This window comes from Homo sapiens, chromosome Y (assembly GCF_000001405.40).
Source record: "Homo sapiens chromosome Y, GRCh38.p14 Primary Assembly".
Taxonomy (NCBI): Eukaryota; Metazoa; Chordata; class Mammalia; order Primates; family Hominidae; genus Homo; species Homo sapiens.
Genome location: NC_000024.10, coordinates 7,773,636 through 7,787,179, shown reverse-complemented (window position 1 = coordinate 7,787,179; position 13,544 = coordinate 7,773,636). Strand labels below are relative to the sequence as shown.

Sequence of the window (13,544 nt, the reverse complement as noted above, 5' to 3'; positions counted from 1 at the left end):
CCTTTTTTTTACCTCTTGGAATAATGGTTTATTTATTTATATGGAGTTATTTTCTGAAAGGAAAACAAAACACTTATTTAAAAAGATGTTTGGACTCTCATACCACCCAAAACAGCTTTTCAGCAGTAGTTTCTGTATTTTGATTTTAGAAAAGCTGATTATTGGTAATACTGTCCAGAACAACAACAACAAAAAATTCCAAAAGATTCAAAATGTAATCATGTGGTTCTAAACTTTGTGTTTGTCTCAATGCCAATATAGAAAAAAAAAAAGAATTAGGAAATAGAGGCCAGTATCAAATACCTGCAGATTTGTCCTTGAAGCCTTTGATGTACCTTGTGTTGGTGTGGGAATGAACAGAATGTCATCCTCCACCCTGCATGACTGATGGTCACACTGCGCCTGGACAGTGCCAGGGTCAGAGATAGGAAGGAGGGCAGACATCCGTGCCCTACTTTTATCAAATGCCCCATCCATACTCTGCAACCTGACAGGTCTTGGCTTTGGCCATATGGGATTGAAAATAAAATTATAATTACTTGCCACATTTAAAGATTAGGAGGATTAAGATTTCTGACTTATTGAAAGTAAGAGTTAGAAGCTCTGGCACCATTGGGCCCACTTCCCCTTTAGCAGTAACCAGGCAAGAAGGGCAAAATGCTGCCCCCTTGGGCAAGATGAGGCCGCGATGTTCATTGCTTTTCCCCTGGCTCGTATCTCTTGTTTACTTTATTTCCCTGGCCCATGGATGTCTCTGTTACTGGCCTTGGGATCCACATCAAGCCCTCTGTCTCATAAGGAGATGAGACTCTGCCCCTGCCCAAGTCAGGGAGAAGCCAAGAGAGAGCTGACCTTTGCACTGCAGCACGACAAAGCCCTGGTTCGGGATGAAGATGAGCAGGAGTTCAAGACCAGCCTGGCCAATGTGATGAAACCTGATCTCTACTAAAAGTACAAGAATTAGCTAAGCATGTTGGTGCACACCTGTAGTCCCAGCTGCTCAGGAGGCTGAGGTGGGAGGATCACTGGAATCCAGGAGGCAGAGGTTGCAGTGAGCCAAGATTATGGTATTGTGGGAGCACGTGGGTGTCCTTCCCAGATGAGGTGAGTGTGGTCACTGTAAATTAAGAGTACAGAACATGACAGAGTAGAAAGTGGAGAAAAAAGTGTGATCAGCCCTCACAGCGTCTGCCCACTCTGAATAGGCTGGTGTTTTCTCTTTCTGAAGGGTAAAGGTGGATAAGACAGCCTCACCAGTGTACCTCATCTTCACACTATGAAGTTATAATTAGAAATTTTAACTTATGATGAGACAGTTCATGTGGTTCAGCCTTAGAGTCAGGTCCTGGTCAAAGGCCAGGAAGCCAAAGTAACTTCAGAATAACTCATGCCTTTTCCTTGTAGCTCTCCTCTAGGATGAAGGGGACCCATTATCCTCAGCAATAGTTAAAACATTAGTTTTCTCTCCCACCACTGGACAGGCATCTCTTCCCTAGAACTCCCCAGAACAGCTCTCCACACTCCCTTGGGGAACACTTAGCCCAGAATCCCTAGTGCCTGGGCAGGCAGAAGGCTGGAACCCTCAGGCAGCAGTGGTGTTTCTCCTGCCCACTGGAAGCGGATATCTTCTAGCCTTTTGTTCCTTGCTCCAGCAACCTACACATGCCATGTGGGTGTTCCTTATTCCAACTTTAGCTCTGATTTTGGGGAACTCTTTCAGTTAACATTGAAAACATTTGTTATATTATCCAATGTTACTTTTTAGTTAGAAACTGGTACCTTAGCCTCCAAATTGAAACATTAAAATTATTGCATTTTAAAGTTGAAAGCTCCTTTAAGGTTGAAATATCCTTTTGCAATTGACCATTTAGTCTTCATTTTGTAAATGAGGGTCCCAAGAGATGGAGAGGGAGATATATAGCTTGCCCATGGTTACATAATTTGTAAACGAAATCAGGCAACTATTAGAAAACAAAATAGTGGAGAGGTTACTCTGATAAGCAGGTTGAGAAACAGACCAACAGGCTGCAATTGGTATGTCTATCCAAATAGAGAAATCATTCCTTTGTTTATTTGCCTAGGAGTAACACTGAGGGATTGGTCACTTTATGAGAACTATGTTTTCTTTTGTATTTTAAGGTTAGGGTTCAAATAGAAACAAGACATTAAGGCCTTTAATCATATTTGCAGTAGGAGCCTTTTTTTTAATTGCTTTAAGATCATTGAGAACATTTTTATTTTTTTCTTTTAACCATGAAGCTAAACTTACTTTGACAGCATGCTTACCAAAGATTAAAGCCACAAAACTGCTTAGTTTTGACAAGAGATTCATTTTTAGATTATAAGATAAAAATTTTAAAGCTTTATGTTTTATTCAGGGAGCATTTAAATATAAAGTGGTTGATTGACCACTAAAATATTTCTAGTGCACTGACTTGGGAGCATGGAGGTTAAGAGGTGTGGGTGGGAATGGGGAAGGATTTCATGGTCCCACACCTTGTTGTCATCACCATCCCCGGGTGGGTAGTCCCCCAATTCACCATGGCCAGCGCCACTGCCCGTGATTGTTTTGTGCTCTGTATATTACACACGTCATCCCACTTGATCCTCACAACCACTCTATGATGGAAGACACGTTGATGTTATTATCACCATTTTATACAAAGAAATTGAGTGTTCACATACCTGGGGTTACCAGGCAGTGAGGAGAGCAACTGGTACAGAACTCTGTCTGCTTTCTTCTTGAGACACAGGTCTTACTCTGTCTGCCAGGCTGGATTGCAGTGGCATGATCTCGGCTCACTGCAACCTCAACCTCCTGGACTCAAGTGATCATCCCACTTCATCCCCCTGAGTAACTAGGACTGTACGCGCACACCAACATGCCCAGCTAATTTTTGAATTTTTGGTAGAGACAGGGTTTCACCATGTGGGCCAGGCTGGTCTCAAACTCCCACTCTCAAGTGATCCACCTGCCTTGGCCTCCCAAAGTGCTGCAATTACAAGCGTGAGCCACCGTCCCCAGCCAGAACCCTGCCTTCTAAACATATTAACTACTTTTATTTTTTATTTTAGTGTGGTGCATAAGAGGAAACATGTATATAAATTATCGATCTCTCAATAAAGGTTCATTTTATTATAGCTTGAAGAGCTTGAAAGATTTGAAACATTTAAAGAATATTGAACTGTAGAGACTGGCTGAGTTTGAGGGCTCATGTTTGATGACTCACAGATGCTGTTTGTATATAGTTTTATCAAAGAAGAGGGGATCTTGGTGCTGGGTAGTATTTTTAGGTTTGATTGACAACATGCAGTTGCCCTCCATCAAGGCTTACACTCCTACCTAAAGTCCATTCAGTTTTTCAAATAAAACAGTGTCTCCGCTACATGTGGTTTTGCCCTTTTGGTTCAGCAGCCTTGTAATCTGTTGACAGCAGATGAAACATGCCCCTGGTTTCCATAAGGTCCACACCCAGCATTTGGAGGATCTGGAACTAGAGGACGAAAGGAGATCTTGGGATGGGCCAGGATTAGGGTGAGGGGAATAAGGCAACGTTTTACAATAAAGACAAGATCAGTGACAGTAGCGTGAGAGTCATATTGGAGCTTGAAGTGAAAGGAAAAAACAGTGATCCTATCTTTTAATTATTTATTTATTTAGTAAATCTCTTACCCCAGGCTGGAGTGCAGTGGTGCAATCTCAGGTCACTGCATCCTTGGTCTCCCCAGGCTCAAGCGATCCTCCCATCTCAGCCTCCCTAGTAGCTGGGACTTCAGGCACATGCCACTATGCCCAGCTAATTTTTGTGTTTTTTGGTACAGATGGAGTTTTGCCATATTCCCCAGGTTGGTCTCAAACTCCTGTGCTCAAGCAATCCTCCTGTCTGGGACACCCACAAGTGCTGGGATTACAGTCCTGAGCCACTGGCACCCAGCCTGATCTTATCTTTATGAAAAGTATTGATACTTTGTTCATCATTAAGTTTTACATTGATTTTTATTTTTTAAAATATTACATTGAATATTTATTCATCTTGATCATTGAGCTTTTGGTGCTCCCTTAAAATTTGCACTTGTGGTAAGTTATATCCTCACTTTCCTCCTCTTAGTTTTTTCCCTGCCTTGGGCCTAGGAGTGCACACAAATAGGCACCATCCGGCCTCACTGCAGACTGAGGAAGAAGTCTGCATGGCCTCCAGATTGGGCCTATGGCTGCAAAGGTTTCCTTGCCTGTGGAGAGGAGAGTGTGTGGAGGAGGGCCATTGCAGGAGTGAAACTCTTTGGCGCAGTCAAACTCCCTGGGGAGGTTGTGAGACACAAATGGCTCAGATTCTGATTCTGTAAGTCTAAGGTAGGAACCAAATATTCTGGTTTTTTTTTTTTGTCTTTTTGAGACAGAGTCTGGCTCTGTTGCCCAGGCTGGAGTTCAGTGGCATGATCTTGTCTCACTGCAACCTCTGCATCCTAGGTTCAAGCAATTCTCCTGCTTCAGCCTCCTGAGTAGCTGGGACTATGGGTGTGTGCCACCACACCTGCCTAATTTCTTGTATTTTTAGTAGAGACTGGGTTTCACTGTGTTAGTCAGGATGATCTTGAACTCCTGACCTGATGATATGCTCACCTCAGCCTCCCAAAGTGCTGGGATTACAGGCATGAGCCACAACTCCCAGACAAGGTTTGTCATTTCTAACAAGTTCTCAGGTGTTGCTGGACAAGGGTGTGGATTTTGAGGACACTTGCTCTAAACCAGTGGTCCCCAACCTTTTTGGCACTAGGGACTGGTTTATGGAAGGCAGTTTTTCTACAGATGGGGTTGTGGGGGTGATTTTGGGACGATTCAAGTGCATTACGTTTACTGTACACTTTATTTATATTATTATTACATTATATATGTATTGAAATAATTATACAACTCACCATAATGTGGAATCAGTGAGAGCCCTGAGCTTGTTTTCCTGCAACAAGATGGTCCCATCTAGGGGTTATGGAGGACAATGACAGATCATCAGGCATTAGATTCTCATAAGGAGCATGCAACATAGGTCCCTTGCATGCACAGTTCACATTAGGGTTCATGCTCCTAAGAGAATCTAATACTGCTATTGATCTGACAGGAGGCAGAGCTTAGGTAGTAATGTTCACTCAACTCCTGCTGTGCAGCACCCCCATACCAGTCTGTGGCCCCAGGTTTGGGGACCCTTGATGTAAACCCTGGTGTTCAGAACAAGCTTTAGAGCAGTAGTCCCTCTCGCCTGCATCCAAGAAGCTGCTTATGAGACACCTTGACTCCATGCATGGCGAGTATGGAGAGGCTCAGGATTCTTTACCAGACTTACCTTTGGATTTGTTTGTCTAGCAGCCTATCTTGAATATACCCTTCAGGGGAAAGATTGCATACTTTTCTGCTTACCTGGCCAGTCCTACCTTGACAGGTTTCCATGCATGGGGTATACAGAGAGGCTTAGCATTCTTTACGAGACTTACCTTTGGATTTGTTTATCTAGCAGCATATCCTGAATGTACCTTCAGGGGAAAGATTGCATACTTTTCTGCTTACCTGATGAGTCCTACATTTGTCACTCTTATTAATGGAGACTTCTCCAGGATGCTGAATGCTTGTTTTAGAGTGAATCATTGCTGCAGATTTTTTTGTCCTGTCAATTTCTTGCATGATATATGGAAATGACAGCTACAGTATCTGATGTCAGGTGGTTCTTAAGTACCCCTAGGTTTTGTTTTAAAATTTGTTTCTTAAAATAGTACATTGGCTCACGCCTGTAATCCCAGAACTTTAGGGAGAGGCAGAGGCAGATGGATCACAAGGTCAGGAGATCGAGACCATCCTGGCCAACATGGTGAAACCCGTATCTACTAAAAATACAAAAATTAGCCAGGCATGGTGGCATGTGCCTGTAGTCCCAGCTATTCAGGAAGCTGAGGCAGGAGAATCACTTTAATCAGGGAGGTGGAGGTTGCAGTGAGCTGAAATTGCACCACTGCACTCCAGCCTGGGCGAAGGAGGGAGACTCTGTCTCAAAAAAAAAAGAAAAAAAAGTACATTAAGGCCCAGGCAGGAAGATCATTTAAAACCAGGAGTTTGGGACTAGCCTGGGCAACATGGCAAGACACTGTCTCCACAAGAAATTTAAAAATTAGCTGGACATGCTGGCATGTGCCTACAGTCCCAGAAACTCTGGAGGCTGAAGCAATAAGAGGATCACTTGAGCCCAGGGGATCAAGGCTGCAGTGAGCTGTGATCGCACCACTGCAGTCCAGCCTGGGTGGCAGAGCGAGGTTCAGTCTCAAAATAAATAAGAAAAATTAGAAAATTTGAAAAGCACATTTTTTAAAGTACATTAAAAACATTTTAACAATAATATTGTTTTTATATATAAAGAGGAAAATAAAAATGACTCATAAACCTTCCACTTAAATGACTCCTGTTGGTGGTAATGGGATCAAAAGTATAAAATAAAGCAAAAACCACTTTCTATGCTTTCCTCCCTACTCCAATCCTTCTCTTCAATGTTGATGTTTTTGTGATTTCTTCCAGGAAAAAAAATATTTTTATTTATATCTGTCCATCCTTCTAATATTATTTACACAAGAGTGGCCATACCATTAACACTGTAGTTACCTTTTTTTTTTAAACTTAGCAATGTATCTTGGACTTGTTTCTATATCAGCACATAACAGATTTACTTTAATCTTCTGAATGGTTTATAGGATTAATCACTGGGATATTCCAGTATATAACTATTCCTGCAATTAAGATTGCTACTAGAGCAACCCAGTAGTAAATATCTTTGTCCATATATCTTGAAAGGCATTTATGATTCCAGCCATAGAAGTACTGCCAATAGTGGGGTTGCTGGACAAACAGTGTGTGCATTTTTAGGTATGAAGGCCAATATCACCCTGCCCTCAAGAAAGGTTCACTCCCACCATGACAAGGGGCGTGCCTGTTTCCCCAACACCTTTACACACAATGAATATTACAGAAGTGAAAAAGGAAAATATAGTATTCCAATAGGAATAAAATACAGGATAACTAGAAATTAACTTGATAAATATGTACTATCTGTGTGAAGAAAACTTTAGTATGCTCCAGAGGAACCCAAAGGAAGACTTGAACAAATCAAAATTTTGCCAGTTTCTTGCATGGGAACTTGCAGCTTGGTGAAAATATTCATTTTCAGTTAGCTATGATTTGAACATGACCTAGTAAAAATACCCACAAGTTTTTTTCTGGTGGAGGAAAGGGAATTTACTGAGCAGATTTTTTAAAGATCATTTAGAAAAACAAATTAGGAGGATACAAAACATAAACAGGAATATAGGAAAATTTGAGAAATGGTTTAACCAGATATTAAAACATAATGTGAAATTAAAATTGTTTGAAGTAGTGTTTTATACAAATAGATTGATGGATCACAGTCATAAACTCATATCTGGGAATATAATGAATGATAAATGGCATATAATATATGGCATCTGAAATCAATGAGGAAAAATAGATAAACCCCTGTGTGTGGGTGTGTGGGGGAGTTAAATTCATATTGCATAGTTTACCTGGGATAAATCCCAAATCAATCAAAGATTTTTATGCAAAAAAATGAAATAAGTTTTATGAGAATTCACAAGATAACTGTTTTACAATTCCAGGTCTTTCTCCTATGACATAAAACTCAGAAGCCATTGAAAGCAAGATTGGTAAATTTAGCTTTATTTAAAAAGTTTTCCATGGAATCACTTGAACCCAGGAGGTGGAGTTTGCAGTGAACTGAGATAGTGTCACTGCACTCCAGCTTGGGCACCAGAGAGAGACTTTGTCCAAAAAAAAAAAAATTTCATAGCAAAACCTACCATATACAAAGTCAAAAGGCAAGCAACAAATCGGGGACAGATAAATAGAAACCAAATTTCCTAATATGTAAACAGTTCTTACAAACCAATAGAAAAAAGGTCCAATGACCCAAAAGGATGCCAGGCAAAGATAATGGACAGACAGTTCACAGAGAAGGAGAAACAGCATTTAAATGTGAAATGTTTAATAAGAAAAAAATACAAATTACACAATAAGAGAAATATAAGTTAACATCTCACAGGGATCATTTTTTTTTTTTCCACTGACAATAGCCACAGTATGGGAAAACAAACAACTTTATACATCACTGATGCCAGATAAATCCATAGTACTGTATAGAAGAAATCTAGCACTATCTGAAAAAATTACAATGCAGACATATGTATGACATATATATGTGTGTATATATATATATATATATATATTTTTTACACCTCTGATTTTTGATTTTATTTTTAATTTTTGTGGGTACATAGTAGGTGTATATATTTATAGGGTACATGAGATGTTTTGATACATGCACGCAATGCATGTATTTTTAACCCAGCAATTCAACATCTATGAATTTATTTTTTATATGTACTACAAGCGCACATGTGCAAAATCATATAGGAATGATATTTTTCACTAAACGATTACTTATAAAAGCAAAAGTTTTCATAGACCATGGTATATCACACAATGGATCTGTAGAAAAGACTGAGAAAACACTCTGTGTACTGCTATGAAATGGTGTCTAAGAAAAGTATACTGTTTTTGTTGTTGTTGTTTTTGAGACGGAGTTTAGCTCTTGTTGCCCAGGCTGTAGTGCAGTGCTGCTATCTCGGCTCACTGCAGCCACTGCCTCCCGGGTTCCAGAGCTTCTTCCACCTTAGCCTCCTGTGTAGCTGGGATTACAGGCATGCGTCACCACACCTGGCTAATTTTTTTTTTTTTTATTTTTGGTAGAGATGGGGTTTCATCATGTTGGCCAGGCTAGTTTATACTCTTGACCTCAAGGGATAATCCCACCTCGGCCTCCAAAAAGTATAGGGATTACAGGCATGAGCCACCACAGCTGCCTGAAAAGTGTCCTGTTAATTGATAAAAACTGATTTTAAAAAGCCAGGTGTGTAATGTTATGCTGACATTTGTGTAGAAGAGGAGGGAAATATATAGACCTATTGACTTTTGTATGAATACTTTGATTGTTAATGCATATACACACAAAAAGATAATAATGTATTTCCTCTATGGAAATAAATGTCTAGGAGGTAAAGGATAGGGCTAGGATGTAGACTTTTCACTGAATACACATTTGTACCTTTTGAATTTTGAACTTTGTTTCCCCTTCTCAAAAATAAGTAAATTAGAAGTCCAAATTTTAAAATAATTCAATAGGTAAAAATATTCCTGGTTTTGATTTGTGTAATTCTAATGCTGAGATAGAATGTTTTTTCAAATATTGGTTAGCGTTTTACATTTTGTAAGCAATTGCCTCTTCATATATTTTGCCTATGTAGAATTTATTTTGGGGTAAGGAGGGTTTCGCAAATTAAGGAAATTAGCCCTTTATCTTAAGGGTCACAGAAATTTTGTTTAAGTTTGTCTTTTGACTTTGTTTATGCTACTTATTGCCTCCTAGAATTTTTATATTTGTTCAGTGTATTTTCCTTCTTTTCCCTTCCCTTCTTCATTTCTGTTTTCTTTTTCTTTTTTTCTTTTTTTTCTTTTTTTAGAAGGTGGAAATGACTTTTTCATTGTGATCACTGAGAAGATGACTCTGGATCTAAGACATTCCATTATTATTTTATTTTATTTTTGAGACAGAGTCTTGCTCTGCTACCCAGGCTAGATAGAATGCAGTGGCCCTGGCCAGGCGCCATAGCTCACGCTTGTAATCCCAGCACTTTGGGAGGCCGAGGAGGGCGGATCACGAAGTCAGGAGACAGAGAACATCCTGGCTAACACAGTGACACCCCGTCTCTATTAAAAATACAAAATAAAATTAGCCGGGCGCGGTGGCAGGCTCTTGTAGTCCCAGCTACTCTGAAGGCGGAGGCAGGAGAATGGCGTGAACCCGGGAGGAGGAGCTTGCAGTGAGCCGAGATCACGCCACTGCACTCCAGCCTGGGCGACAGCGAGACTCCGTCTCAAAAAAAAAAAAAAAAATAAAAATGCAGTGGCCCAATCATGGCTGATTGCAACCTCCCCATTTGCGGCTCAAGCAGTCCTCCCACCTCAGCCTTGTGAGTAGCCAAGACCACAAGCACCAACTAATTTTGAGGGTTTTCTCTTTTTTTAGAGAGACCGGGTTTCACCATGGTGCCTAGGCTGGTCTCAAACTTCTGGGCTCAAGCGATGCGTCTTCCTAGGCCTCCCAAAGTGCTGGGATTATAGGCATGAGCCACCACGCCTGGCCAGAATCCAATCATTAGTGTCTTTGGGTGATTTGGAAAATGACAGTCTGCTTATGAAGTACGTTTGAAGACAGCAAAAAGTGAGACAAACTCATTTTAGCAGTAACCTAGAGGATCCTCCCTGAGGGCAAGGGGAGAGGGACTTGGGCAGGGCTGGGTGGGTGTCCTAGTGGGTCTGTGATGAGCCTCTCCTCTCTCCACTCCAGCAGAGCTCCCTGGATCCTCAACAGTAAGGCTGACCTCCCTGTGTGACCTGCCCACCCAACTCCTGGAGCTGTACCAACAGGGCTTCTCTCTGGCAGCCATGCACCCCTTTGTGCAGCCCACCCATGGACAGGAGAAGACACCCCTGGAGCATATCTTTAGGGCCATCCTCATCAAGAAAACCGACAGGTAAGGCCTCCCTGAGTAAATAGGTAGCATCCTGCTGTGGCTAAGCTATGCTCAACAGAGAAGAAGTGAGAGTTTGGGGTTGGGGGGTTGAAATTTGCATGCAGTCCTCAGGGCCTCTGCCCTCAGACAGGTGAGGCAAAAAGTTAGACAATCAGAGAGGTTTCCTAGCGTCCTGCAATGAAAAGCAAACATATGTCTAACTGCAAGTAGAGGGTTCCGTTTAACATTCTTTCTCTCTTTTAACTCACTGCATTAAGCTTAGCTAGAAAAATGTCTCCTCAGAAGAAGGATATGTCCGGAATTATGCAGCTATTAAAAGTGTAATACTTTTGAACTGAAAGGCATGGCTGGAAAATGCAATGCTTTTGTTTAAAGGCTATATACAAACTTAATGTCTTCCCCCAAAGTCTGGAAATACTTTAACATTTTGAGCCTACCATAAATTCTGTCAATCACTTAACAGTTAAAAAAATACGAAATATAAACCCCACCTAAATAAAATGCTGTAATTGGTTTGGTCTTGATTTAGATTTTCAGGGCTTGGGGATAGTTTTCATTTTTCCTTGCCAAGTTCAATGTTTATGCCTACATTTAGATTGGGCCTAATTAAGAAAAGAGAAATGGGGGTAGTCTTTCAAAAGGAACAATATTAATTAAAAAAATGAGAATGGAATGGAGAGAGCAGTTTGTTTTTGCTGCTTTCATAAAAATTAAAATTAAAATGAAGTCTAAGAAAGGGAATCAGATTTGTCTTTTGGCCAACTATCATAGAAGGAATGATAACGTGCTACAGTTTAAAGAGAGAATGCAGAGCAGCTCCTCCTCTTTCTCTCTTTTTAAAGTCGCTTTGCAGGTAGACAAAGCATTTGGCTGGTGTGCTCACAAGGGACAGCTGTGAGGCATGAGGTTGTGTGACTTGACTGACTCCTCTTTTCCTTTCCTTCCCTTCCCTTCCCTTCCCTTCCCTTCCCTTCCCTTCCCTTCCCTTCCCTTCCCTTCCCTTCCCTTCCCTTCCCTTCCTTTCCTTTCCTTTCCTTTCCTTTCCTTTCCTTTCTTTCTTCATGGTTGATCAAGCTCTGTGGCTCTTAGTCTACATCAGTGTAAATTAGAATTTGCTGTGAAAGGTGGTACATGTCTTTGCTCAAACCTAGAATTCACACATTTTTTGGTAAGGCGAGACTTTTCTCAATGTCTGCCTTTTATGTGTATTAGTTTCTCTCTCTCTCTCTCTCCTTCTCTCTCTCTCTGTCTCTCTCTCTCTCTCTTCTGTAGAAATGAGGTCTTGCTATGTTGCCTAGGATGGTCTTGAAATCCTGGCCTCAAGCGATCCTCCCACCTTGGCCTCCCAAACCACTGCGATTACAGGTTACAGCCACTGAGCCTGGATGTGCATTGGTTTCTTTTGTTTTGTTTTTTCTTCCTTTGAGATGGGGTCTCACTCTGTCACCCAGGCTCAGCTCACTGCAACTCTTGCCTTCTGGGCTCAAGCCATCCTCCCACCTCAGCCTCCCAAGCAACTGGGACTACAGGTGCATGCCACCATGCTGGCTTATTTTTGTATTTGTGGTAGAGAATGGGTTTCATCATGTTTCCCAGACTGGTCTGGAACTTCTGAGCTCAAAAGAGTCTCTTGCCTCAGCCTCCCAAAGTGCTGGGATTACAGGAGTAAGCCACCATGCCCAGCCCATTATTGATTTCTTTATGTCGATTGGCTGTTGATCATTATCTGGGTCAATCACAAGAAGAAACTATTTTGGGGGCTTCAGTGGTTTTAAGCAACACTGACACATAGGATATGTATAATAACAGTAGCTCATATTTAGTGAGCACTCACTGTATGCCAGGCTTGATCATTATCATTTCATTGGTATCATACACCTATGAAATAAGTGTCATTTCTGTTCCCATTTTAAAGGTGAGAAAACTGAGACACAAATGTTGAGTTGTCACGATCACACAGAGGCAGCAAGTAGAGCTCTGCCTTGCTCCCAGGAAGGCTGACTCCCATACCTGCATTCTTAATCCTGGCATGAAGCACATGTTGTGTCCCTTTACCCACAATTCTTGTGGATAATCACTTTAGGAAAAAAAGTGGGTGAGGATATCTTTGACATTCCATCAAGAAGCACTTCTATTACTCAACCTTTCCTGCATTTTACCCCTCAGTAGTCTGTAAGTAGGTCAGAATATCAGCAAGGAAACAAAACTGACAAATGCATTATATGGATTATATAAGGCATCCACTGGGCTCCAGTGATTCTATTCTGCAGATTATTTAATTACCCTTAGTGTTTAAAGGAGACGATTCCATTTGGGTCAGATCACCGGTGAATCCTTCAGTGTGATCTGCCATAGGTGGTGATGTGAGCTCAGGATTTGGCCTGAGCTTAACTCAAAAAGGCGAAGATGTGTCCTTTTTTCCCCCCTGCTATGTAGCAATGCTTTTAAAACTTTAATGTGCCTGTGAGTCTCCTGGGGATATGGTTAAAGAGCAGAGTCTGACATAGGTCTGGATGAGGCCTGGGACTCCGCATTTCTAACTCATTTCCAGATGGGGCAGATGCTGATGGTCCATGGCATGCACTTTGAGTAGCAAGGGTTTGGAGGACCTAATTCTTGCCTGGCTTCATGCCTGACACTCAGCAACACTACTGGGGCTTGCCACTTTACTCCCAGGAGAGCTGTAAGCATCAGGCTAGGTAAGAAAGAACACAGGACTCGTGGCCAGCAGGCCTGTGTTCTAGGCTGCATGAGGCTACTGGTAAGTAGTGTTGTGCAAGGGGCAAATCAGTGGATTTTTCTGGGCCTCCGTTTTCTAGCTGCTACAATGAGGGGCTGTTACTACATGATTTGCCTGGCTTGCGCTGAACTCTTAAGTTATCTGA

General features: G+C 41.5%; 1 long non-coding RNA gene and 1 pseudogene across 1 annotated transcript in view; both read left to right on the top strand.

Moving 5' to 3' along the window:
- The window catches only part of LOC107987339 (uncharacterized), a 30,404-nt gene extending 22,691 nt beyond the window's left edge, over positions 1-7,713 (top strand). Inside the window, exon 3 of the long non-coding RNA XR_001756056.2 lies at positions 7,666-7,713. This is a non-coding gene — a long non-coding RNA (uncharacterized LOC107987339). The remainder of the gene's footprint in view (positions 1-7,665) is intronic.
- The window catches only part of RFTN1P1 (raftlin, lipid raft linker 1 pseudogene 1), a 63,733-nt pseudogene continuing 60,658 nt past the window's right edge, over positions 10,470-13,544 (top strand).